The sequence below is a fragment of the Homo sapiens genome, chromosome 13 (assembly GCF_000001405.40).
Source record: "Homo sapiens chromosome 13, GRCh38.p14 Primary Assembly".
NCBI lineage: Eukaryota > Metazoa > Chordata > Mammalia > Primates > Hominidae > Homo > Homo sapiens.
The window spans coordinates 48,519,374-48,544,308 of record NC_000013.11 but is presented as its reverse complement, the minus strand read 5'-3'; the positions used below and the strand labels follow the sequence as shown (position 1 = coordinate 48,544,308).

Below are 24,935 nucleotides of genomic sequence, written 5' to 3'. Positions count from 1 at the left end.
TGTCATCCTCCAGACCATATCTGCTCTTTGTTTAATATTTATCAATGCCCTTGAGGAACTGCCTTTCTAGATTCATCTTCAGCGTCGGCTCCACACGTTTCTTTCTGGCATTTCTGACTTTACTTTATGAGATCCAGAGAGTAAGCTTATAGCTTACGTTGAATTTGTCACAACTTTCATAATGTGGAGCATGCAGCACTGAGCCTATTTCCTTTGTCTACTGTGATAGCCTGGCCTTAACTCCCTGTGCAGGACCAGCCATTTAAAAGGTCATTAACAAAAGAAAGAAGACCCTTTTTCAATTTTTCTCCGGAAGCCTAGAAATTTTTTAAAAATATCCTTTCTGTTTTAAGAATATGCAGTGTCTTAGGAGAATTAAATGGACCCAAGAAATTGAAATTTCTTAAAGGTAGGCTAAAGGGAGACTGCTTATCATTTTTACCACTAAGTGAAAAATGTACTAATTTCATTTTTCTAGTGAGTAGAAAATGTCTATAAAACTCATGTTTTTCTGAAAGTGTTTTTTCTCTGACAAGATGACTGTGCTCCACTGGGCTGGAAAGCATTATTAAGTATAACAATAAACTATACAAAGAAAAAAATCACAAAAATTTTCAGATCAGGAAATGCTTAAATATTTCCAAAAATGTTTATCAGTAAATGTTATTCTAGAATTAAAACATTTCCTGTTGATGATCATGCCATGGAGAAAATCATGTAATGCCAGTTATGAGATCTTATATATTTAGAAAAAAAACCCCATTATAAGTAACATGAGATAAATAGGAATCATACTTTTAAAAAAGATTATTATTCACATAAAAATTTAAACCTTAAGCAATATAAAAATACAAGAGAGAAATAAATTAGTCAATATGTCAACTCTCAGAAATGACCACTCAATATTTAAGTATTTCCAAGCAGGTCTCAGTGTAAATAGACACACTTGTGTTCAATTTTACATATATAGTTTTTATGACTTGTATTTATATCAGCAACACATCCTGGACAGCTTTCCCTGTCAAAAAGTCTGGATCTGCAGTATTAGTGTTCACAATTGTGCATTTGTGTCACATGTATCCATTGAGATGTTCCAAGCTTCAGCAGCACCTCTCCAAACAAGTCCTCATGTGACAACCTAAAAAAAGCAGGAAGGGAAGGAGGGGGCAGCCGAGTGGGTGGGTGGGCGTGTTTTTTCAGAAGCCTCCTAGTGGACTTCCTTGTATGAAATTGAAGCACGATATTTCCCTGACCCCTTCGTGGGACTCACAAAGGAGCTGTCTTGTTTACTGAGCCCGCAGCTCTCAATTCCTTGAGGGAGGGAGCCCGTGAGCAAATGAGGCAGGAACTGGAGTGCACGGGTGCTGGAACTAGCCAGCTGCTTCAGTGCCAGCAGGAGTGAACTCCACTCACTTGGATCTGCTGTGCTCCACTCCTCACGGGAGGGAGCACATAGGTGAGCAGGTGCAGGAGCCAGGGCGAGTGCTTTTGGGTACTGGCAGGAGTGAACTCTGTGCAGGCCCTGCGGCAGCATTTGCAGGGGGGTGTGCCTGCAACCCCTGAAACCCCAGAGGGAGTGCTACAGTGCCCTTTTAGCTTTGCCTGCTGTACACAGACAACTTGAGTGCTAACAGCTCAGCAGGCCCTCTGCCTTTTCATATGAGGCGGCTGCCTTCTGCCAGAGAGGGCAAAGGGCAAGTGTGACAGCTTTTTTGTATCCTCACTCATGGCTCCCGAGCTCTTGCCCAGCATCCAGGAGAAATGAGGTCTCATGAATGAATTGAAGGATGGTAAATGCATGGATTTTATTGCCAATGAAAGTGATAATCACCAAGAGAGGCAGCTGAAAAGGGGACAAGATGGGAAGGTAATCTTCCCCTGAAGTCTGGCAGTCTCCAGCCAGATTCTTCTCCAAAGTTACGCCACCAAGCTGTCCTTCTGAAGTCAGGCTGCTTCTCTCTGATGTCCAGCTATAGTCCCTGACATTCAGCTGCTTCTCCTCTCTCTGCCAGCTGAGGCTGATGTTTTTATAGGCACAGGATGGGGGGCAGGGTGGGGCCATGGGTGCTTTGGAAAAGGCAAGATTCGAGCAGGGAAACAGCGGTGTAAGTTCTAACTTTGGGCCGCAGTCTCAGGCTTTTCAGCTTGAGATGGGGCTTCACCAGGGACCTGCCCTTCTTCGCCTAGAATTTCTCTGTTCCCATCCCCATCAAAATGTCTATGGCTAGGACCAGTCACATGGCCACCCCAGACACTATCAAGTGAGAATGAATTGATATGACTGTCTCGGACAAGCCAGGCTTGCTCCTCTGTGATCATCACAAAAACCAGAGTCCTGTGGGCAATAAAATAAGCTTAAATTCATGAATTCACGACAATACCAACAAAGAAACTCAATTAGTGGCCATTGCAGACTGCTAATGACCAACCCATTATTATAAAATTATTATAAAAACTGGCAAATTAAGAGACAGAATCAAATGCTTATCATGCTTTTCCTATGTCATTGGGAAATCAAATCATTGAGGAAGAAAGTTTCCCTTTATAAAAGCATGTCAGCTAATAAATGAAGATGAAATGATAGGGTTAGGATATCACCATTTCCAGTATCTGTTGAGTTAATGGATCTAGGTATTGAGCACTAACAACTACCAATATCACAGAAAGAAACAACCCAACATTAAATGCCTCCTGGTGGAAGGACACAATACCATCTAGGAAGTCATCTTGCCAAAAATATAGAACCTCAATCTAACCGAGACTCTAGATCCAATCACACCAATTTGAGGGAAATATGAAGGGTACATTCAAGGAAATCAGATTTTGGAAAACTCAGTGATTGGCACAATTGTAGGCTACAGTTTGTTTACACCTCTACTTGTTTTTTTTTCTTTTTTTAATTTATTTTTTATTATTATACTTTAAGTTTTGGGGTACATGTGCACAACATGCAGGTTTGTTACATAGGTATACATGTGCCACATTGGTTTTCTGCACCCATAAACTCGTCATTTACATTAGGTAGTTCTCCTAATGCTATCCCTCTCCCAGACCCCCACCCCCAAACAGGCCCCAGTGTGTGATGTTCCCCTCCCTGTGTCCATGTGTTCTCGTTGTTCAGCTTCCACTTATGAGTGAGAACATGAGGTGTTTGGTTTTCTTTTCTTGTGTTACTTTGCTGAGAATGATGGTTTCCAGTTTCATCCATGTCCCTGTAAAGGACATGAACTCATCCTTTTTTATGGCTGCATAGTGTTCCATGTACACCTCTACTTGTTATAATTTATGATGTACAGAAAAACCTTTAGGCCAAACTTAAAATATGTAAGGAGGCAGCTTTAAGCTAAACTTGATTTAACAATTATAAATGTTTCTTATCAGATTGAAGGTCTGAGTTAATGTTAATGCTGGCTGGCTTTTCCTGAATTCCAAAAGGGAGGAGGGTATAATGAGGCACGTCTGACCCCTCCTTCCCATCATGGCCTGAACTAGGTTTTCAGGTTAACTTGGAGTGCACGTGGCCAAGAGGAGGGGTCCGTTCAGATGGTTGAGGGGCTTAGAATTTTATTTTTGATTTACAACTATTAAGCATGAACCTAGCTTTCATCGTATGTAGCCACTTACTAAAGATTTCTTTGATCAAAAATGATTACAGACTATTAAATTTTATCAAACATTTTTCTCATCATGAATTAAAACATTTCTATTCCTTTGACCTATTATTATGGAAGAATATATTAATCAATTTCTTAACACTGAATCATATTTACATCACTGAAAGGAACCCAATCTTGGTAATTGTACAATATATTTTTAAAAGTATTGCTAGTTTCTATTTGTTACATTTTATTTAGTATATTTTTCCTACTTAATATGCAAACAACGTGCCATCTTTATCACATTTTGTTATCGGTTGGCTTTGCAAAAATCTTAAAATATTAAGGAAACACTAAGTCTAATCCTCCATTTTTAAAGGTAAAGATTTTTGAGGCCCCTAGAATATTAAGTGACTTACTAAGTTCACATTATTTTATTTTTTTTTATTCCCTGCAAGTGTTGCACATCTACTCTTTTTTTTTTTTTTTTTTTTTGAGTTGTGGGGTCTGGAAAACTCTATCACCCTGGCTGGAATACAGTGGCACAATTAAGGCTTTGTGGCCTTGAACTCCTGGGGCTCAAGTGATCCTCCCACCTCAGCCTCTCTAGTAGCTGAGACTGCAGAAATGAGCCACCACATCCCACTAAGTTCTTGTGTGTGTGTGTGTGTGTGTGTGTGTGTGTGTGTGTGTGTGTGTGTGTGTGTAGAGACAGGATCTCACTGTGTTGCCCAGCCTGGTCTTGAAATCCTGGCCTCAAGCCATCCTCCTGTCTCAGCCCCACAAAGTGCTGGGATTACAAGTGTGAGCCACCACACCTGGCCATTTTCTACTCTTTATATCCAGTCTTGCTAATTTCAACTTCTAAAATTTTCTCAAATCCATGTTCTCCTCTCTCTTTAAGCCCATGCCACTGTTAACACTGAATTCAAGGACAGCTGGTGTCCTGCCAGGGTTGATGCAATAGTGTCTTCAAGTGGTTTCCCTGGCTCCAGGCTCACCCTTCTCCCCACTGGCATGATGGTGAGCCATCATGTTGTCCTCCTGCTTAAAATATTTTGTTAGATCCTATGATACATCTTGCTGTTACATTGCCAAGGCCTTCTATTATTTGGCCCATTTACCTTTACATCTCATTTGGAAAGAGGCCTCATGGTCCAGTGGAAAGAGCTCCAGATGGGAATCAAAGATGGATTTGAGTCCTAGTTCCACCTCTTACTACTTATGTGACCTTAGGCAAGTTACCTAGGTCTCCACTATCTCACCTGTAGGATGGGGCAAAAATGACTTAAGTTGCCAGTAACTGTAATGTTGACAAAAAGAGTCAAACTCTGTAAAATATCTGAAGGGGTTTATTCTGATCCAAATATGAGTGACAGATGGCCCATGACACAGCCCTTAGAAGATTGTGAGAATATGTGCCTAAGGTGGTCAGGATAAAGCTTGGTTTTATACATTTTAGGGAGACATAAAACATCAATCAATACATATAAGGGGTATATTGGTTTAGTCTAGAAAGATGGGACAACTGGAAGGAGCGGCTTCCAGGTTATAGGTAGATTCAAAGTTTTTCTGATTGGCAATTGGTCGAAAGAGTTAAATTATTGTCTAAAGACCTAGAATCAATAGATAGGAATGTCTGGGTTAAGATAAGGGGTTATGGAGACCAGGGTTTCCATTATGCAGATAGAACCAACAGAAGGGGATGTCTGGGTTAAGATAAGGGGTTGTGGAGACCAAGGTTCTCATTATGCAGAGGAAGTCTCCAGGTAGCAGGCATCAGAGAGAATAGATTATAAAAGTTTCTTATCAGAGGTGATTCTCTCCTGGAACAGGAAAAAGGAGGGAGAAGGAAGATTCTCTTTAAAATACAGATTTTCCCCACAAGTCAGCTTTGCAAGACTATTTCAAGATATGGCAAAGAAAATAAATTTGGGCTTAAAATATTTTGATTTGCTTACTTATCTATCATGTGATATTATGCCAGAGTCAGATTGGAAAGTAGACCACGTTATATAGCACTAAGTAAAACCCGTCTGATGAGACTATGGTTTGGAGGGCGTGACTCCCCAGGCCCCAACATGGTGAAACTCGGTCTCCACTAAAAATACAAACATTAGCTGGGTATGGTGGCACATGCCAGAAGTCCCAGCTACTTGGGAGGCTGAGTCAGGAGAAGCACTTGAACCTGAAAGGCAGAGGTTGCAGTGAGCTGAGATCGTGAAACTGCACTCCAGACTGGGTGACAGAGGGAGACTCTATCTCAAAAAAAAAAAAAAAAAAAATTATTGCTATTTTAAACAATTAATTTTTACAGATTTATTTTTTAATTAACAAAATTCTTTATATTTACGGTGTATAACATGATCTTGTCGTATATGGATACATTATGAAATGGCTGAATCAAGCTAAGTAATATATGCATTACCTCATATACTTATCATTGTGTGTGCCTGCTGAGCACATTTAACATCTGCTTTCTTGGCAATTTGTAAATATACAAAACATTGTTATTAACTACAATCACCCTATTGTACTATAGGTATCTTGAACTTATTCTTCCTACCTAACTGAATTTTTTTATTCTTTGACCAATATCTCCTTGATCCTTCCCAGCCCCAGCCCCTAGTAACCACCATTCTGCTCTTAACTTCTAGGAGTTCAACTTTTTAAGGTTCCACATATGAATGAGATCATGTGATATTTTACTTAATGACCTCCATGTTCATCCATGTTGTCACAAATGACAGAATTGTCTTTTTTTTTTTTAAGGCTGATTGATTTTTGACAAGGCTGTGAACACAATGGGAAAAGAACAGTCTCTTCAAAAAAATGGTGTAAGAAAATTGGATAGCCATATGCAGAAGAATGAAATGAAACCTTTTTCTCACACCAAATACAAAAATCAACTAAAAATGGATTAAAGACTTAAAACTTAAGACCTGAAACTATAAAACTACTATAACGTAGGGGAAAACTCCATGACATTGGTCTGGGCAATGATTTTTTTGAAGATGACCCCAAAAGCACAGGCAACTAAAGCAAAAATAGACAAACAGAATTACATCAAACTGTAAATCTTCTGTACAGCAAAGAAAACAATCAACAGAGTGAAGAGAAAAGCTAGCAAGTTGGAGAAAATATATGCAAACCATGCATCTGTTAGGGCGTTAATATCCAAAATATATAAGGAATTCAAACAATTCAGTAGCAATAAAACAACCCAATTTAAAAATGGGCAGAGGACCTGAATAAACATTTATCAAAGAAGAGCTACAAATGGCCAAGTAGATGAAAAAAAGTTCAACATCATTAATCATCAGGGAAATGCAAGTTAAAACCACGATGAGATATCACCCCACACCTGTAAAGATGGCTATTATAAAAAAGATGAAAAATAACAAGTGTTGGCAATGATGTGGAGAAAAAGGAACCTTTGTTGATGGGAATGTAAATTAGTACAGGCATTACGAAAACCAGTACAGAGGTCCTCAAAAAATTAAAAATAGGACTATTTTTAGCAATCTCACTACTGAGTATATGTCCAACAAAAATGAATCAGTATGTTGAAGAGATATCTGTGCTCCCATGTTCACTGCAGCACTATTCACAATTGTTGAGATAAAGAATCATCCTTAGTGTCCATTCATGAATGAATGGTTACTTTAATTTCCTACCATTGCCCTATTCCCTCCATATAGCCTTTGTTTCAGCCTTACTGAGCAATTTATAATTCTCAAACACATCATATTTCTTATTCTACTTAGACTACTTCCCTTCCCTAACACTTCCATCCCTAACCTTTGTTCTCTTAGCTAACTCACACTGACTCAGCCTCCCAAGTGGCTGGGATTACAGGCACCCACCACCATGCCTGGCTAATTTTTGTATTTTTAGCAGAGACGGGGTTTCACCATGTTGGCCACGCTGATCAAGAACTCCTGACCTCAAGTGATCCGCCCATCTCCGCCTCCCAAAGTGCTGGAATTACAGGCATGAGCCATGGCACCCAGCCCACACTGAAAACTTAATGCTAAAGTAATCTGTTTTGGAAAGCCTTCTCTGATCACCTCTTGGTATTTTGTCATTCTTTCACTATTGCCACAGTAAGTGTATATGTGCCTATTATCATCTTTATCACTTTTATATTCTAACACCAATTATAATACCATGCTGACATGCACAATTCTATACAGCATGGTAATAGCATGCATCAGTAAAGGTGCAGTGTGACTGATACCTCTACAAAACACAGAGCTGGGCAGTGCACCAATTTAATGGAGTCTGAAGGAATTTAAGTTCTAGAAAACTAAGGTGCTACCCAAGGTCATTCACCTAATCAATGGCACTTAGGGCACCAAAGTGCAGGCTGCTTGCAGTCATTCATTCATGCATTCAATCTGTAACAAGCAGACTGATGTAGAAATTTACTGGTGCTAAATTTTTGTTCTGGAGACGCAAAGAGGAAAAAAAGAACATTTTCCTCTTCCCTGAAGCGTAATTAGACTTTCTGAATTTCCAAGAAAAAGTCAAAAGACGGCCCCATCCACCTTTTCTTGTGATTAGGGCCTTGGTGCCTGGATACCTGAAAAGAAAAAAGCAAGATGAATTCCTCTGCTTTTGGATAACTAAAGGAGGCTTAAAGATACCCCAAAAGCAGAAGTAATTAGGGGGTTTAAAAAGGGAAGAAAGGGAAGACTTTTATTGCAGCTAGATCCCCATTGTGGGCTGGAAAAGGACAAGGGCTCCTAGTTTCACAAGAGTAGTGTCATGAACTTGTTAGGACATAAGAAGTGGCAGGACTAAAACCATGTCTTGAAATAAAATTACTAAGGGAACGAGAAGATAGAGAAGTCCAAGAACCAAACTCTGGGTATGCCAATGGCTGGAGAAGTGGTGGATGAGCCAATGGAGCTGCCAGTGAGATGGACGAACCAAGAGACAGGGGCCACCTGAAGGCCAACAGAAGAAGATGAATGCTTCAAGATGGCAGCTGTAAGCAAATGCTTCTAATGCTGCTGATAGTTCAGGTGAGATAATGGAAAAGTAACCACTGATTTAGCAATTCTGAGGTCATTGGTGACTTTGCCAAGAGGAGTTTCAATGGAGGGGTAGGGGCAAAAGCCTGGCTGAAATAGATTCAAGAATGAATAGGAGGGCCAAGCATGATAGCTCACATCTATAATCTCGGCACTTTAGGAGGCTGAGGTGGATAGATCACCTGAGGTCAGGAGCTCTAGACCATTCTGGCCAACATGGCGAAACCCCATCTCTATTAAAAATTCAAAAATTAGCTGGGCATGGTGGCACACACCTGCCGTTCCAACTACTTGGGAGGCTTAGGCATGAGAATCACCTGAACCCGGGAGGTGGAGGTTGCAGTGAGCTGAGATTGCGCCACTGCACTCCAACCTGGGCAACAGAGCAAGATTCTATCTCAAAAAAAAAAAAAAAAAAGAGGATGAATAGGAGGAGGGGATGAGGATACAGTTAGTATAAGTGACTCTTTTAAGACATTTTGGAAGAGACCAGAGAACACATTGGTAGCTGATAGGGGACATATAATCAAGGAACTTTTTAAAAGATAGGCAAATGTTGCGCAATGTTAATATGCTTATGGGAATGATCCAAAAATTAATGATACAAAAATTAATAATGTAGGATTGAGAGGTGACAACTACCTGAGTGAAAACCTTGAGACTGTAAGGAAGACAGGATCTAATACAAAGGTGGAAGAGTTGAACTTAAATAAGAGCATGCACAGCTCATTCCCAGTAATGGGAAGGAATAGAGTGCACAGGTACAGATGTAGGTAAACTTGGGAGATGTGGTGATGGGAACTTTAACTCCTGAAATACTAACCTATACTCTCTCAGAGTCTAAATTTTTAGTCTACTGAATTCAGCAATACAGTGAAGTTTAGTAGACCAAATTATCCAAAAGTGTTGAAGGAAACTTATATGTGATGGAGACATTTTTACTTCTTACTTTTAATTTTGACCGCCCTGGGAAAAACTGTTGGACCCATATAAAATTAAAATCTTTAGTGAAACACATTCTTTTATAGGTATATTTTAAAGTTTTAACTTCTGAGATAATATCACAGTTTTCAAAACACTAAGACATGTTTTTATTGTTAGCTAATTGTCAGGCTTCAGCTGAAGCACACCGTAAGGCCTGCATGAACTTCAGCTGTCCATAATGCGTAAAAGACCAAGTGCGCAAGGCAAACAGATCTTGCCATGGTTGCTGATGAAAGAAACTTAATCTCTTGGGGCCTGAGTTGCCTTATCTGTAAAGTAAGGATAATCCTTGCCTTACAGGATTATTGTGAGCTCCAAATAAGATAAACCTCTTGGCACACAATAGGTGCTTAAAAAAAAAATGCCAGCTATCATCACTGAAGTGAGCTTTTTCTGAGAGCAAACCTGTTTAACTCATAAATTTCTTTCATTGATAAGATGTAACCAGTGGAGAAACTTGGGGCAGGCACACGATGCCTCTCTGCACTATCGCTGCAACTTCCTGTTAATGTATACTTACTTTTTCTTCCATTTAGAGCTCTACAAGAAATACCTGTGTACCATTTTGCGTGCCTCCTTCTGAGGCTCAGTGGGCTATGCTCAGAGAATAGAGATAAATGTCTGCCCTATGTAGCAGAAAGGCAGTTATACATTTTAGAATGATGTTTTTCCGAAGAAATGACAAAAGCCAGACGAAACAGACTGACACGGTCACTGTGGTTTGGAATGTTAGTTTTTCTCTTTGGCTTTACTACTTTTGGCTCTACACTGTAGAGGAACCAGTGTCCTCATGAAACAGCCAGTATAAAAGCAAGTAGCTTACTTCACAGGAATAGCTAATAACATTTAATTGTTGAGCATTTAACCAAAACCCACTCAGGTCAATTTAAGTGTAGTGCAGTGGAAGAAATTATTGCACACTGCAAAGTTGTGGTGCATTTTACTTAAATCTACAAAGGCCAACAGAAGTGCAGTGTAATATAATAAATTACTGCAAAATATAATCATAAGGGGAGAAGGTGGCTGTTTTCGAAGCCCTTGGCCCCAAGGTAACTGAGGTCATCCCCCTGAACCCCCCAGCACACATCCTCATTATTTCAGCATTTGTACTACAGGGGGCTACAAGACTTCCGCCCCACAGCAATGGGGTGAAAACGTGAAGTGATCGGAGCCCCCAGATAGAGGGGCCAGCAATAGAAGAAAAGCTGGGGCAGGCTGGAGGAGAGGGGCTGTGGAAAAGGTTGCTCTCAGCATCATACACGCCTTATCCTTCTAGGTCGGGTATCCACAAATTCCCAAAATTTGCGAGAACATAACCCTGGAGAAGGTGGGGGTGACCCACGGAGGAACTCCCTGGAAAAGCGGAGGCGGCCCCAATGGGAGACTCCCGGGGGTCAACTCCGAGGGGAGGGGGCGTCTGCGAGAAAGGGGAGGGGCGGCGGTGGGCAGCCTAGGGAGGAGAGGAGGGGCGAGACGCCGTCGCCAGCCCCCTCCTCTTGTCTGCGCTCCCTTCGTTTCCGTCTCGGCCGGGCACCCGAGCGCATCCCGCCGAGGCCGGGCCGTTTCAGGGGGAGGCGCCAACTCATCGCGGCGCCGGGCCCCTGACCGTGCAGTAACCGCTACCCAGGAGGCGGAGCGGACAAGGCTCCGGCCTGCGAGGAGGTAAGAGGGTGGAGGAGTGGTGTGGGAGGCCGAGGGGGATCGCGGCCGTGACGTGGGATGCTGTCAGGTACCACTGGGGCAGGCCACCCCTCCCCGCCCCTGCGGCCCGACCTCCCCGCCAGAGACAGCTGAGGGGCCCAGGGGACTAGAGCCGCGACCGTGCCACAGGCCTAGGCGTCGTCGCGCATGCGTAAAACTGCTGGCGGGAGTTAAGAGCTAGGTTCCGGGGCTACACCCAGCCCAGGCCGCAGGCAGAGGCGGCCCTGCGCATGCGCAATTCCGCTGGCGTGGGCCCGGTGCGCTGCTCGCGACTACATCCTGCCCAGGCCGCCGGCCCAGGCTGCGCTGCGCATGCGCGAGTCCTCTGGTAGGGGTCGCGTTTGGCGTCGTTCCAGGGTGATCATCTGCTCGGAGGCCGCTCTCATCCTAAGCTCCCACGTCTGGTGTGGCTGGGGGGGCGTCACAGGTCCCGAGGGAGCGTCCTGCCTGAAGTTTCTCCCTCCTAACCCACTCGCTGCACTGCATATGTTGCCGATGTTTTCATTTCTGTGGCCTCGACCCCTAGGCTCCCGTCCCATAAATCTAGTACCCCAGGTCCCGGGCACCGGCCCGGCTCACTAACTCAGTGGCAGTATATGCTTTCGACATTTGGTCCTGATGTCCAGGAATAGCGCGAAAAGTTTGACTTTGTTAGGCGAAGCCGTTTTGGAACTGCGGAGGGATGGGAAGAAATCGCCGAGCGTCTTAAGCCGCAACATAGTGCTCTGCTCAGCCCTGGAAATAGAGGTTTTCAGACATTGAAAACTTTCCAAGTGCTCCGTCTTGGCGGAGAAAGAACTGAGTTGGAAGGCTAATTTAGAATGAACTTTTTGCTTTTGTTCTTTGCAAAAATTACATAAAATGTTGCAACAGTTCGAGACCAGGACTATAACAAAACGCATTTCATGGAGCTACTTTGTACCGCGCTTGGCGACTTACCTTGTCAGAGCTGAATAAAAGTGGTTGAGTTCACAAACAGTGCTCTGGATCGTTGCTCTTTCCCCCAGACACTGTTTAACGTTTATTGAGCCTCCTGGCTTTGCACCTTCCTAGTATTGCGTTCCTGCTGGGTTTTACACCTTACTAGACAGTGGGTCTTAGTTAAGTCAGTTTCGTGACTCCTGGGGCTACTGTGAAGAGTTTCTAACAATGTCATTACTCTGTGCTTTGTAATCTTATATGATGTGCTGATACAGATATTTGGGGGCTGGAATAGAAGAGCCACTTAGGCTCAGAGAATGAGTATTCTAGGTGAAACGTAATCTCTTTATTTCCTGCTAGACAGTACATGCGTGTTATTAAGCAGCAGGTAAAAGCAACAAGAATGATACGTTCTTGCATACCCCACTTCCACCACTCAGGCCTTATTGCTCTTGCTGGGCTCGCCAAGCGGACCCTCATCCCAGGGCGTCTGCGTTTGGTATTTCCAGTATGCTCAATGCTCACTTTCCCACTCTTCGCAAATCTGCATGGCACAGAACTTTATTTAAGTCTTGAAACAATTGCCATCATTTCAGAGAGGTGACTACCTCACCTAAAATGTCTGGCTCTCCAAACTCTTGTACTGCTGGTTCGGCTTTGTAGCACTTAATCACCATCTGATATTATATATTTGTAAGGGTATGATCAATCTATCTCCACCATAATTGAAGCTCAGAAGGTATTTGTTAATTGTAGAAATAAAATTGGAAACTAACTTACTCCAGAGATATTTTTTTACTGAACTCAACCTAGATTCATTCATTTATTCAACAAAAATTGATTTTCTATCACGTCCTGTCCTTGATGCTTGGGATGCATCAATGAACAAAAGAGACAAAGATCCCTTCCCTCTGGAGCTTACATTCTAGCAAAGAATGATAAAAAACATATTTGTATATTAGGTTAGAAAAGTACAAATGCTATGAAAAAATGAAAAAGGAGAACAGAGAAAGGGAATTGGGAGTGCAGGTGTGGGTTGCAATTTTAAACATCATGGGTACGGTGAGTCTGAAGGATAAACCAAAGGTGATGTTTAACATGGGGAACTGGGTTTTAGAAATAAATGTTCTTCTGGGAGAAAACGTTCTTTATCGTGCTCTACAATGTCTTTTATGGGAGCCCACGGCATGACCCTTGTGATAAACGTCACCATTTTTTATAGTATATAGGTGAAAAAACATTTTTTTCCTAAATAAGAGTTCAAATTATTCAGGAGTTTACAGTTTAACTTAGCACATCAAATGAAGACACTGGACTTTTACAAGGAAGAGCTAGCCAGACATCTATGTAAATTGTGCTGAGAAAAACTGTACGTTGTCTCCACAGTTTTTGCAATTGCTTCTAAATGTCCCTCTGACTGTGGATGACTAGTGAAGATCTTTTCTAAGAATGGTCATTGCTTTTCTGTATTTGAAACTGTGTAGGAGAGGAGCTTAAATCACCTGGTGTGATGTTATGCTATAAATGACCTCTCTTACAGGTATCTGAATGAACCAGATAGACCTAACTAAATTTCAATCCATAATTAAAGAAGGCTTAGAGAAAGAGGGTGATGGAGAGGAATAATTTTAGAAAGTAAAGTGTGTTTCCCCTCATGTCCTTTACTTACATAGATTACAAATACTCTGTTCAAACACCAAAATATTATTAATCTAGGACCATAAATGTAAGGAGTCCATGGAATTTGCTTATGCCCTATGAAATTGTCATATTCAAGTTTGGTTTTATCAGTTGGTTAAAGTAAAATTTAAATGCCCCAAGATACTGCTACTGTTGAGGTTTACTTGGATTTAAATTACTACAAATCAGGCCGGGCGCGGTGGCTCACCTGTAATCCCAGCGCTTTGGGGGAGACCAAGGCAGTCAAATGTTCTTGAGCCCAGGAGTTAGAGACCAGCCGGGACAACATGGCAAAACTCTGTCTCTACAGAAAAACGAACAAAAAAAAAATGAGCCAGGCATGGTGGCACACACCTGTAGTTTCAGATACTTGGGAGGCTGTAGTGTGAGGATCACTGGAGCCGGGAAGGTTGAGGCTGCAGTGAGTCATGATCACACCATTGCACTCCAGTCTGGGCAATAGTGTAAGACCCCATCTCATAAATAAATAAATAAATATTGCTACAGATTAAAATTGTCCAGGAAAAGGTAGATTGGAGACCAGGAATTATTGGGGTTACAGAGTGACATTAAGGACTCTTGTTAAAGACTAAAAGAGAGTTCTACTTGGAGATTTTACTTCAAAGGAGTGGATGGCTTGCCTCCTGGTAAGGGATATTGATAATGTCCATCAATGGAAGGCTGAGATGATACTTCCAGCTTTCATTGTCTGGAAGGAACATGTATCTAGTTCACATGGTGATCACATTCTAACAACGTGAAAGTTTCCAGGAAACTTAAACCATAATAATTTTTCAGCATTAATTTGACATTAGAGTGGGTTTCTTTTACGTCTTCAGCCTTGCTAATTGGCCTGAGCTAATATCTCTTATGTATATCTCCCTATGGAAGATGTTTTGAGCTAACAAGTACCAGTAGGAGATAGTATGTGAATAAAACATAAATTTTGACTGCATTATAATATGTCCTGTATTATGCTGCGTGTATGTATGTATATAATACTGAACAAAACCAATCTCAAGTGGAAATGAGCCAAGGCCAAGAGGGCCTGCCATGTTGAAGGAATATATATGCTGTGGGTCAAAGATCTTTAACAATTAGGATCTCTGTAGCAGGCGTGTTAAGATTTTTTTTTGAAAAATTGGATTAAATCTATAAGGACCGAGATTTAAAATGGATTTACAAATGAGATCTCAAATCTCAACTCACATTAGTGCATATAACAACTTAAAAATATTTTTATCATTTATGTTGGTTATTTTTCATATTTGAAAATGACACTTTTGCCGTGTGTGGCTGAAAAGACTGAAGTTGTCAAGCTCAGTAATCTTTTCAATTAAATACCGCTTTGCTTTGTACTGAAGATCTGACTCATCACTCTTGTTGAAATTTGGAAAACTTTTTAAAAAAACAAATAATTAAAATAGCAACAGGGTTTCTGTATTCTACACAACAGTTTTCTGTTTTTCATGAACATATGACAATACCATTTCCTTTGAGGTTGTGTGCTAGTTTTAGTTATGCTTTTAGTGTTTTAGTTTTGTCCGTCCTGTTTATAATTGTTCCATTTTAATTAGCCATGTAGGTATTTTACTGTTACTTGTCATTGATTTTAGACATCTCATTTAAGTGGAGCTAATATTACAGCTAACACTATCCCTTTTTGCAAGTGAAAACTGGGATCATGTTTTATTGTATACGTATTTATATTATTTATAACTTGAAGATGACCCTTAAAAAGCTATTAAAGATACTATCTAATGACTCACCTAAGGATATATTTGGGAACCATCATTATCCTATTGAAATTTATGTGGTCTGCAGCTCATTAACACACCGATGCTGTAAACTGCATGCTGGTACCCTAAAAGATATCGATATTATTTAATTTCCTGTTTCTTTTGATTATAAAAGCATCATCAAATGTGTTACCCACCCAGATGGGATAATTTTAAGCATAGAGTTCTATATTGAGAGAATTCTAAAAATATCAGTGTGTTTCTCAAGCATAGCTTTAGAGTTGATCTCATTAAGTTGAATTTTAAAATATGTAATACTGGGACTTCTCTGCAGGAATTGCTATTTTTTTTCACCCCTTCTTCTGTAATCACTTCTAAAGAAGAATTATTAGCATTTAGAAGCCCCTGATTAACTGCAAAATGTCAGCATTTAAAACCTACCATTGGGTTGGGGTAATGTGGACAGAAGTCCCTAAGAGAGCTGGATATTGTTTTGCTCTACGTTATTCTGTTTGCTCTCATGTATTTGCTTTCAATTCAGTGCCTACTGCAGGCACTGAATTAATATTTGTTGAATGAATTAGGCAAATGAACCTATGTCCCATAATCAGCTTAACTCATTTTTTAGGTCAGAGGTATTACCGAGTAATATAACACATTGTGTAGCAGATACACTGATTAATACTGATTACTTTGCCACAAATAATATGTACAGACTGCCTGTTATATCTTTTGTACAGGCAAATGAATTATTTGACTTTATGTGAGGATTAAGAATGAATGTGTTTATCACATTATCAAAAGAGTGTCCCCTTGTTCAGTAGTCTTCAACTGTGTAGTTTTTAAAAGTGTAGAGAAAACTCTCAACATAGAATATATAGAAATAAGGAGTTATCTGCCCCAAACAGGGATACTTTAAAAATAAATTAGTGAACCGTACAATTAGGAAAACAGCTGAAATAGGAAATGTCATGTGACAGATTACCTTACTTGATATATATTTGGCTTTGAAACATTACTTTTGTACAGACTTGAACTACTGGCCACCGAGTGTCCCATTTGGAACCTTTAAAGACAGAGATCAGTGGCAGGAACTTCTGCGTGGAGAGGTTACTTATCATTCCATTTTCTATTTATATTGCAAGGCAAACATTAGTATAATAAGATTCTGTAAAAACAGTTTTAGGTTACATTTTAATAAAATGAGGAAATAACATAGGAGACTGTTTTGCAAAGAACAAAGCACCTTTTAATATAAATATATATCATATATATATATCATATATAAATATATATCATATATATATATATCATATATATATATATATGAGCCAAGTCATATATCCCAAAACAAACATATAAGGGAAAAACTAATAAAGTAACACATAGTAAGATAGTAAGATAATATTACTGTCATCCTATAGTAAGATGATATGAGATGATCTTATGCTGTAACACTGTCACTATGAAGAAAATCTTCCCAATACTGTTGCCAGCTTCTGCCTTGGCTCTACAAGAAACATTGCCCTCCTATGCAGAAAAGGGGGGACATTTGTAAGCAGATTTAGACCATAAGTAGAAAGCACATTTTTGCCATTTTAATACACTGATATTAAACATTTTTTTAACTATTTTGGATTTTTCTTACAGGTACAATAGTATAAATGCTACTCATTGGATATGTTATTTAATCCTCCTATTTAAAAAAAATCTATTTATTATTATTATTTTTTGAGATGGAGTCTCACTCTGTCACCCAGGCTGGAGTGCAGTGGTGTGATCTTGGATCACTGTAACCTCTGCCTCCCAAGTTCAAGTGATTCTCTTGCCTCAGCCTCCCAAGTAGCTGGGACTACAGGTACACACTCTTACGCCTGGCTAATTTTTGTATTTTTAGTAGGGATGGGGTTTCACCATGTTGGCCAGGCTGGTCTCCAAACTTCTGACCTCAATTAATCCTCCCATCTCTGCCTCCCAAAATGTTGAGATTACAGGCATGAGCCACCGCGCCCAGGCTATTTTTATTTTCTTAGAGACAGAGTCTTGCTCTGTTGCTTAGGCTAATGTGCAGTGGTGCGATCATAGCTCATTAAAAAAATTATTTATTTTTTATTTTTTGAGATAAGATCTTTGTCACCCGGGCTGAGTGCAGTGGTGTGATCATGGTTCACCGCAGCCTCCACATCCTGGGTTCAAGCGATCCACCTATCTTAGCCTCCCAAGTAGCTGGGACTACAGGCGTGTACTACCACGTGTAGCTAATTTTTAAGTTTTCTGTAGAGACGGTGTCTTCCTATGTTGCCCAGGCTAGTCTCAAACTTTTGGGGGCCTCAAGCGATCCTCAAAGTGCTGGGATTACAGGTGTGAGCCACCATGCCTGGCCTTCCTAGGGTATTGATTCAATTTTATTTTACAGATGGCTAAAGAAATTATAGTTTATGAGTTTTCATTACCAAACGTTTATTGAATTTCCATGTCCTTGGTAAAGGCAAAATTAGAATGATAGCATTCTCATTTTAAGAGTTTATTTTCTTTAACATTGGGTAACCTTAATCTCTCCATCCTGAGATGATTAATTTAAGCTTAAAATCTTGAAAACCATCTTGTCAGATGGAAAAGCTGTAGCATACCAATTCATTGACAGAGTTACATGGGACCTTTTATCTTTGGTATTCCCTCCACCAAAACTTCCCCACGAAAAAATTCCCATCAAAGTCTAGCCATGCATATGTTGGTATCCATAACACATTAAAATAGTACTGTCTTCTGCATGTTTTAAAATGTTATCAAATATCAAATGTTATCAAATGATACCATATGTATCATTTTGTGACTTAGTGATTTTGGTGAACATTGTTTTGTAGATATACCTGTTTTGATTCTAGATAATTTATTTTAATAGCTATATAGTATGCATATGCCACAGTTTATTGGTTTTGTTGATCAATTTGTTCTTTCTTGCTTTTTGCTATTGGGAATATTTGTGTGTATGCTCTAGAGTTTATCTAGGGCAGTGTTGCTAAAATTGCAGGACTTGTTAGTGATCTGGAAATTAGTGGGCTGAGATCAGCATTTTCTTTTAAAATGAAATTGAACAAGATAAAATAGGATAGAGTAGGGTAGAATAAAATAGCATAAAGTAGAAAAATGGAAAAGATATCAAGCATCTCATGTAGGAGGAGTAAGAATTATTTTGTGAAATTTCAGTTATATATACATATATAACTGAATATATATATATATATATATATATATATATATATATATATATATATCATGAATCCTTTGCTCACTTTTGAATTGTGTCGTTTGTTTTATTCTTACTGATTTGCAGGCATTCTTTATATATTTTGTGTATGGATCCTTTCCAAGCTGTCCATTATGCATGTTACAAATATCTTCCCCCATTCTGTGGCATATTTTTCCTTTTGTTCAAGTTTACTGCTCTTTTCTTTGTGTTTTATGCTTTCCTGTCTTATGTATGAAATCTTTAACTGCTCTGAGGTCATAAATATATTTCTATACTTCTAAAAGTTTGAAAGTTTTGCTTTTTTTTACATTTCCACATGGATTCTCTTTTATTTTCCATATGGAAATACTATAGATTAAATTCTCCTTAGTGTGCATTTTTTCATGTGTTTCAGTGTCCAAATTGTTGAAACCCTCTCCTGAAGCTTATAAAGTATGATATTCTAAAGTTACATTTTATAACTTTAGTATTTTTATAATAGAGCATCTCTGCTGCTGACTTTTTAATAGTAGATAGCACAGATACAATTTTTAAGCTGTATTTTTCTCAGATAAAGAATGGATTGTTAAATGTGCAAGACAGTATATTCTTTTCCTTCTGTTTTTCTCTAATAGAATTTATTTGTGTATTTATATTTCCAGTCACATTAACTTTGCTCTAGAAGACAACTTTACAAGGATCTAAAAGGAACAGGATTAAAGATGACTGAATACTGGGTTCCAGAAATTTAAAACAATCAGGTACAAAAGTTTTTGGAGGGAATGCTCCCAGCCAGTCAGTATAAAATAGAACTGTTGAGAATGTACACAAGAAAAACTTAAAGTATCTAGCCCTGAAATACAGTGGAGGGTCCCAAAACAAGGGCTTTGGAATAGTCCTGGTTCAAATACTGGCTCTGACACTGATTGGTTGGTGACTATTGGTCACGTTACTGAAATGTGTGAATAAAATGGAGGCAATGATTAACCTGTTTCATTTGGATATTATAAAGATTAAATAAGGTGAGGCACTTAGTGCCTGGCACAGAATAACTTTATTTTTACTGTTGTTATTGCTGTTGTTATTTAGAATACATTTTATCACATCATGGATATGGCTTTCTGTATGTATATTGTGAATTGTTATTTTAAGTATATATATCAACATATTGTTAATAGCCTGGTGAAATCACATGGATAACAGGGTAAGGTAATCTCCACGTGTAGTGCACAAACTATACATGCAAATTGGGGATGATAGTTTTCTTTATTATGTATGCATCACATTGAAATAATGTAAAAAAAAAAGCCAACCATCTCCCACAATGCTAAAAAATTCAAAACACTTTTTAATAGTATTATACAATAGTAATTAATCTTGATTTATTTTTAAATCTTGAAGGACTTTCTGATTGACAAATATGAAATTATGTTAATCTTACATTTCATTCAATTTGAATCCTGCATGTCATTTCTTTGAATGTGGTAATTTCCATGACATACATACAATTATGTCTTAACCTGATGTCAGATAAACAGAATGGCCTGTTTTCCTACCATTCTAATTTTAAAGAGTTTAATTTTACTTGAAATTGATAAAAGACACTGAAAAGAGGTTATTTCCTACTCAAAAGCCCAGGATCGGTTTTTCATGATTTTAGCACATTAGGAAGATTTCCCTTCTGCTAGGAACGAAAGGGGGCCTAGGGTAGTGCAGTGAGGGGCAGTCACATCTCTACTTGGTCCCTTCTTTTTTCTCTTCTCTCCCTCTTTCTTCTCCTCTCCTTTTATTTTTTATTCCAGTAAACTTGGGGCAAATATGGAAAAAGTGTTTCCTGATAGGGTGAGGCAGAAGGAGAGGGAACTTTGGTTACAGGCCAGTTCCAGTATACAAAAAGCTGGGTTCTAAGGATGCTTTGTATGAATACGTTGCGTTTTACTCTGAGCCATGGGCTGTGGGTTATAGCAATGAAGGAATCGTCTGCCCTTTTGAAGAACTTACCAATTAATAGAGAAGGTACATCATACAAGAATAACTGTCATATGAGGCAGAATTTGAAAAATGCCTTCAATGTAGTTAAAAACAAAACAAAAAGTGCTGTGGAAATACAGAGAAGAGGTCCCAGCCCATTTGGGTAATCAGGATCCACATTGATGTAAATCTCAGTGGCAGTCATGCTGGGTCTTAGAGAAAATTAGGATTTTAACAGATCTGCTAAGATGCCATAGATAATATGTAGTAAGTATTAATTAAAATGACAGAATATCTTTCCATATTGTCAATCAGATCGGTTTATAAATTTTTAAGTGAGAAACTTCTAAGTAATCTTCTAAAAAGCAAGCATATCTTTTTTACTTGTTTCCAAATGTTAGAAAGTAATACTTTGCTATTAATTTTCATAATTTTAAGTTATAATAATTCTGAATAAATTATGATTTCTCGTATTCTGAGAGATCTTTTTATAGCTGAGGAAAAAAATTACTAATATCCTCAAGGGCATAGAAAACATTGATAAGGAACACTGTTTAGACTTGGCTGTATTTTGATTATTGTTTTTATCTGTCTATTATGAGGCTCTCACTCTACTGTAGAAAATACCAGATAAAATGTTCTGATGTTAGTACCTGAAATAATAGATTGTATTTAAGTAAATAGACCCTACCTCGTCAATTAGAAAAAGCAACATCATTAAATACAGCCTTATTAAATTGCTTTTTGGAGGAGAGAGAATATTTTATTTTTATTTATTTTTAATGATGAAATCGTTAACTACATAATGATTAAACCACAGTCCAGACATATTGCATAGCTTCTGCTAGAGCTGCTCCTGCTGTTACTTTTACCTGGTAGAAAGTAGGTGATGTGGGCATGGTTATTAAGGCAAGAACATTTAGTGCATTGCTACATATTTGATGGCTGTTGTTTCAGATTTTTCATTAAGTCCAGAATAACAAAGCCACATTCATTCATTCATTTTTTTCATCATTTTCATTCATTTCTCCTTTTTTTTTTCCAGCTTAGCAAATCATATATTCTTCTGTGGAGCTGAGAATTGATGTCCGCTCTTCCCCGTGATTTGGAACTTTCCAATCCCAGAGAAAAGTTGACAAAGGTCTAAAATTTATTTTTCCTTATCACAGGAAGTCAACTCTGAAATGAAAATTTTCTACTGATTTCCTTTATAGAGTTAAGGACCCATGTGAATTTTGAGACTACTTTTTCAGACCTCAGCAGGAAGATTCCCGTAAGAGGCCATCCAGTAGTTCCAGAACAGTTAAAACATTTTTGGAGTTTTATAGCTGTTCATTCCCATGCCTAAAGCTTAATTCCTTTATCTTCCTTTCACAACATTTGAGCTTAGCTTATTTTCCCTGCTAATTAGAAGTAAAGTAATTTTAACCTGCCTGGTTCCATCGAACATAAGGGATCCTGATTTTACCACATACTTTTTCCTCAGGGACTGCCCAGGACTGAGTCCATATGGAAGAAGAACTTCCTCTTTTCTCTGGAGACAGTGGCAAGGTTAGAAAAAAATCATGCCCTTGGAGCATGTGTGTTCTGTTGCATGAAACATACTTCATGAAGCACCTATTGGTCACCGATAGGAAAATCAATGAGATACTATCTATCTTTGAGGGGCTCACAGTGTAATCACTGAGATGCCAACAGATAATCGTTGTGGGTATGGAGAATGCTGAAGGGGCCAGCAGGAAACTGATATACCTCAGGTTAAGAGAAAGGGCTCCCAGCGATGGTGACAGTGACAGATGAGGCGCAAAGGCCATCCCCTGCATTCAGACAGTGCTGGCCTGCAAGAGGCTATGAGTTGATCAATGTTTATCCCATTCCCAGAGATTTTTAAAATTATAAACTGTCTGATCTTAGATGATATGTTCTCAATTCATCATAGACATTCTTTAATTTCTTTCTTCATCACATCTGAACATGACAGTCAACCAACTTATGTCTACTCAGTGTCCAGTTGTTGTTAAAAGCCTCACATCTTCCTGCACGCATATTGATTTCCATCTTGTGTTATTTTGTTAAATTTACATAATATCTGCTTATTGCTATTAACAGCTTAATATTAACTCACTATTATTTAATAAAATCAGGTCAAAATTCAATAAAACTGTAAATAATTATGCAAAGCCAGCATTGTATACAAAGATGGCAAAGCTTTTGAAACTAAACTGTAGCATTACCGTGTGCAGACTTAAGTGTTCATTTGTGAGCCCTTGTAGGAAAGTCCAAAAGTAGTTTACAAAAGTAATGTATAGAACTCGAGAGTCCTACAAAAATGTTAACAGAAAAATTCCTAATTTTTCCTAGGAACAGCTTTCATAAAATAAAGAATAGTTTCACAGAATCAGCAATGAAATTACTATATTATTACTACATAGTGATTGAACATATACAAATATATATACAAAGTGTTATAATGAATGAATATGATATAATGAATACTACATAGTGAATATATTTATAAGATATAATGAATATAATGAATATATATGAAGTGTTATAATGCTAGGAAGTACTCAAAAGTTGAGGTGTTGGCATTTTTTCTTAACTCTTTTTTGCTAGGTATGCCTAACGTAATTTTGATTCTCTTTAAATATACTGTATTTTAAATTGAATTGCAACAACTTGATAGCTGTCTGTAATTAAGTGAAGTTTGGTTATACACTCGATTCTTCATATTGCTGGAGAAGCATAGTTATACAGGTATCACACACTCAAAGGAATAATAAAGTGCAATTTGGTCTCTAATTTTGTGGCAGATGTATTTCCTTAATTATGTTTTCCTTGAGCTAATATTAAAATTTCACTACTTGACATTTCTCAAACAGATGCCAGGTCTTGAAGGAAGGGGAGGTGGACTAGATGTGAGAAAAGTAGTAAAAGAAAGCCAGTCTGGGTTAATTATCACCTGCAGTAGTGTTATTTGCAGTAAGGAAGGTTACCTGTGCCAAACCAGGACTGAATTCTAGGGACACCATATTGCCATGCTCTCATTCCTTAGTAGTGCTTTTTTCCCCATACAGATTTTTCTCTTGACCATACTTGGCTCTTGCTCAGCCAGTTTCTTACTTGACAGTTGGGCACGGAGTTGATTGGGTCATTCTGCAGAGACAGCTGCTGTCATGCAGAATGGCTGCAGATAGATTGAGGCTCCTATGGGGGACTATTGTGTGAATCCTACATTGTTTCATGAGTGTGCTGGACAGAAGAATGTATATTGCTTCTGTGAACAAAGATGCTGTAATTCCTTGAGACTGACACAGGTAGAGTATCCCTTATCCGAAATGCTTGGGACCAGAAGTGTTTGGATTTCAGATTTTTTTTTTAATTTTTGAATATTTGCATTATACTTACCAGTTGAGTATCTTTAATCTGAAAACCTGAAATCTGAAATGCTCTAATGAACATTTCCTTTGAGCAGGACCTTTGAACATCATAATTGGTGCTCAAAAAGTTTTGGGTTTTGGATTCAGATTTTTGAATTAGGGATGCTCAGCCTGTATTAAATATGTACTTCAAAAAATGCAAATACATGCATTTTATAAATTTAGTCATCAGTTCCCTATGTAATAGTTGCCCTAACAAACTTAAAAATTGAGTCTTTGATGACTAACTTCCAACAGCCAGCCTTCTGCCAGAAATTAAAAGCAATGTATTCACATCTCTGTTGTACTTAGGTTATATTGTAATTATTTGTTTTCTATTAAATTGTGACCTCCTTGAAGAGAATGATCATGTCTTATTTTTGTACCTTAGTCAATGATACTATCAGATCCCACATTCTCTTGACTTGTAGCATCATTTCATAAAACTTACAGACTGGAGGTTTCATTAAAGAAAACACACGCATTGGAATCCCAGTAGCCAGTAGAGTTACGGGCTGGGTACCATAGGTTTTTATACAGGTGGGCCAGGAAGAAAGCCTAGAACTAATCATTTGTAGACAGGTATGTAAGAGCTGGCTGGAATTTACAGCCTGATTCTAGACATCCAGAAAACCACTTGATTTTATAGCAGAGCA

General features: G+C 38.7%; 1 protein-coding gene and 1 long non-coding RNA gene across 15 annotated transcripts in view, besides 4 other annotated features; one reads left to right on the top strand and one right to left on the bottom strand.

Annotated features, from left to right (window-relative positions):
* The window catches only part of LOC124903174 (uncharacterized), a 28,657-nt gene extending 12,052 nt beyond the window's left edge, over positions 1 to 16,605 (bottom strand). Inside the window, exon 1 of the long non-coding RNA XR_007063795.1 lies at positions 12,260 to 16,605. This is a non-coding gene — a long non-coding RNA (uncharacterized LOC124903174). The remainder of the gene's footprint in view (positions 1 to 12,259) is intronic.
* RCBTB2 (RCC1 and BTB domain containing protein 2) overlaps positions 8,414 to 24,935 on the top strand; it is a 46,933-nt gene continuing 30,411 nt past the window's right edge. For 4 of the 14 annotated variants that reach the window (NR_147985.2, NM_001286832.2, NM_001352428.2 and 1 more), the window contains exon 1: positions 11,229 to 11,281. Coding sequence is in view for 8 of the 14 variants with exons in the window: in NM_001286830.2 (NP_001273759.1) it covers positions 21,945 to 22,001 (57 nt within the window). In the remaining 6 variants the exon portion in view is untranslated. Of the gene's footprint in view, positions 8,627 to 11,228; positions 11,282 to 19,551; positions 19,651 to 21,905; positions 22,002 to 22,346; positions 22,412 to 24,935 lie in introns of those variants that run through there. The other 10 variants (NM_001352427.2, NM_001268.4, NM_001352431.2 and 7 more) reach the window with 7 other exon arrangements.
* Positions 11,014 to 11,063: a silencer, noted in NCBI's record as "silent region_5336". NCBI's record gives its function as "represses an Ori minimal core promoter by ATAC-STARR-seq in GM12878 lymphoblastoid cells {active_cell/tissue: GM12878}" and the evidence as "EXISTENCE:reporter gene assay evidence [ECO:0000049][PMID:35858748]".
* Positions 11,174 to 11,573: a silencer, noted in NCBI's record as "silent region_5335". NCBI's record gives its function as "represses an Ori minimal core promoter by ATAC-STARR-seq in GM12878 lymphoblastoid cells {active_cell/tissue: GM12878}" and the evidence as "EXISTENCE:reporter gene assay evidence [ECO:0000049][PMID:35858748]".
* Positions 11,614 to 11,853: an enhancer, noted in NCBI's record as "active region_7733". NCBI's record gives its function as "activates an Ori minimal core promoter by ATAC-STARR-seq in GM12878 lymphoblastoid cells {active_cell/tissue: GM12878}" and the evidence as "EXISTENCE:reporter gene assay evidence [ECO:0000049][PMID:35858748]".
* Positions 12,744 to 12,913: an enhancer, noted in NCBI's record as "active region_7732". NCBI's record gives its function as "activates an Ori minimal core promoter by ATAC-STARR-seq in GM12878 lymphoblastoid cells {active_cell/tissue: GM12878}" and the evidence as "EXISTENCE:reporter gene assay evidence [ECO:0000049][PMID:35858748]".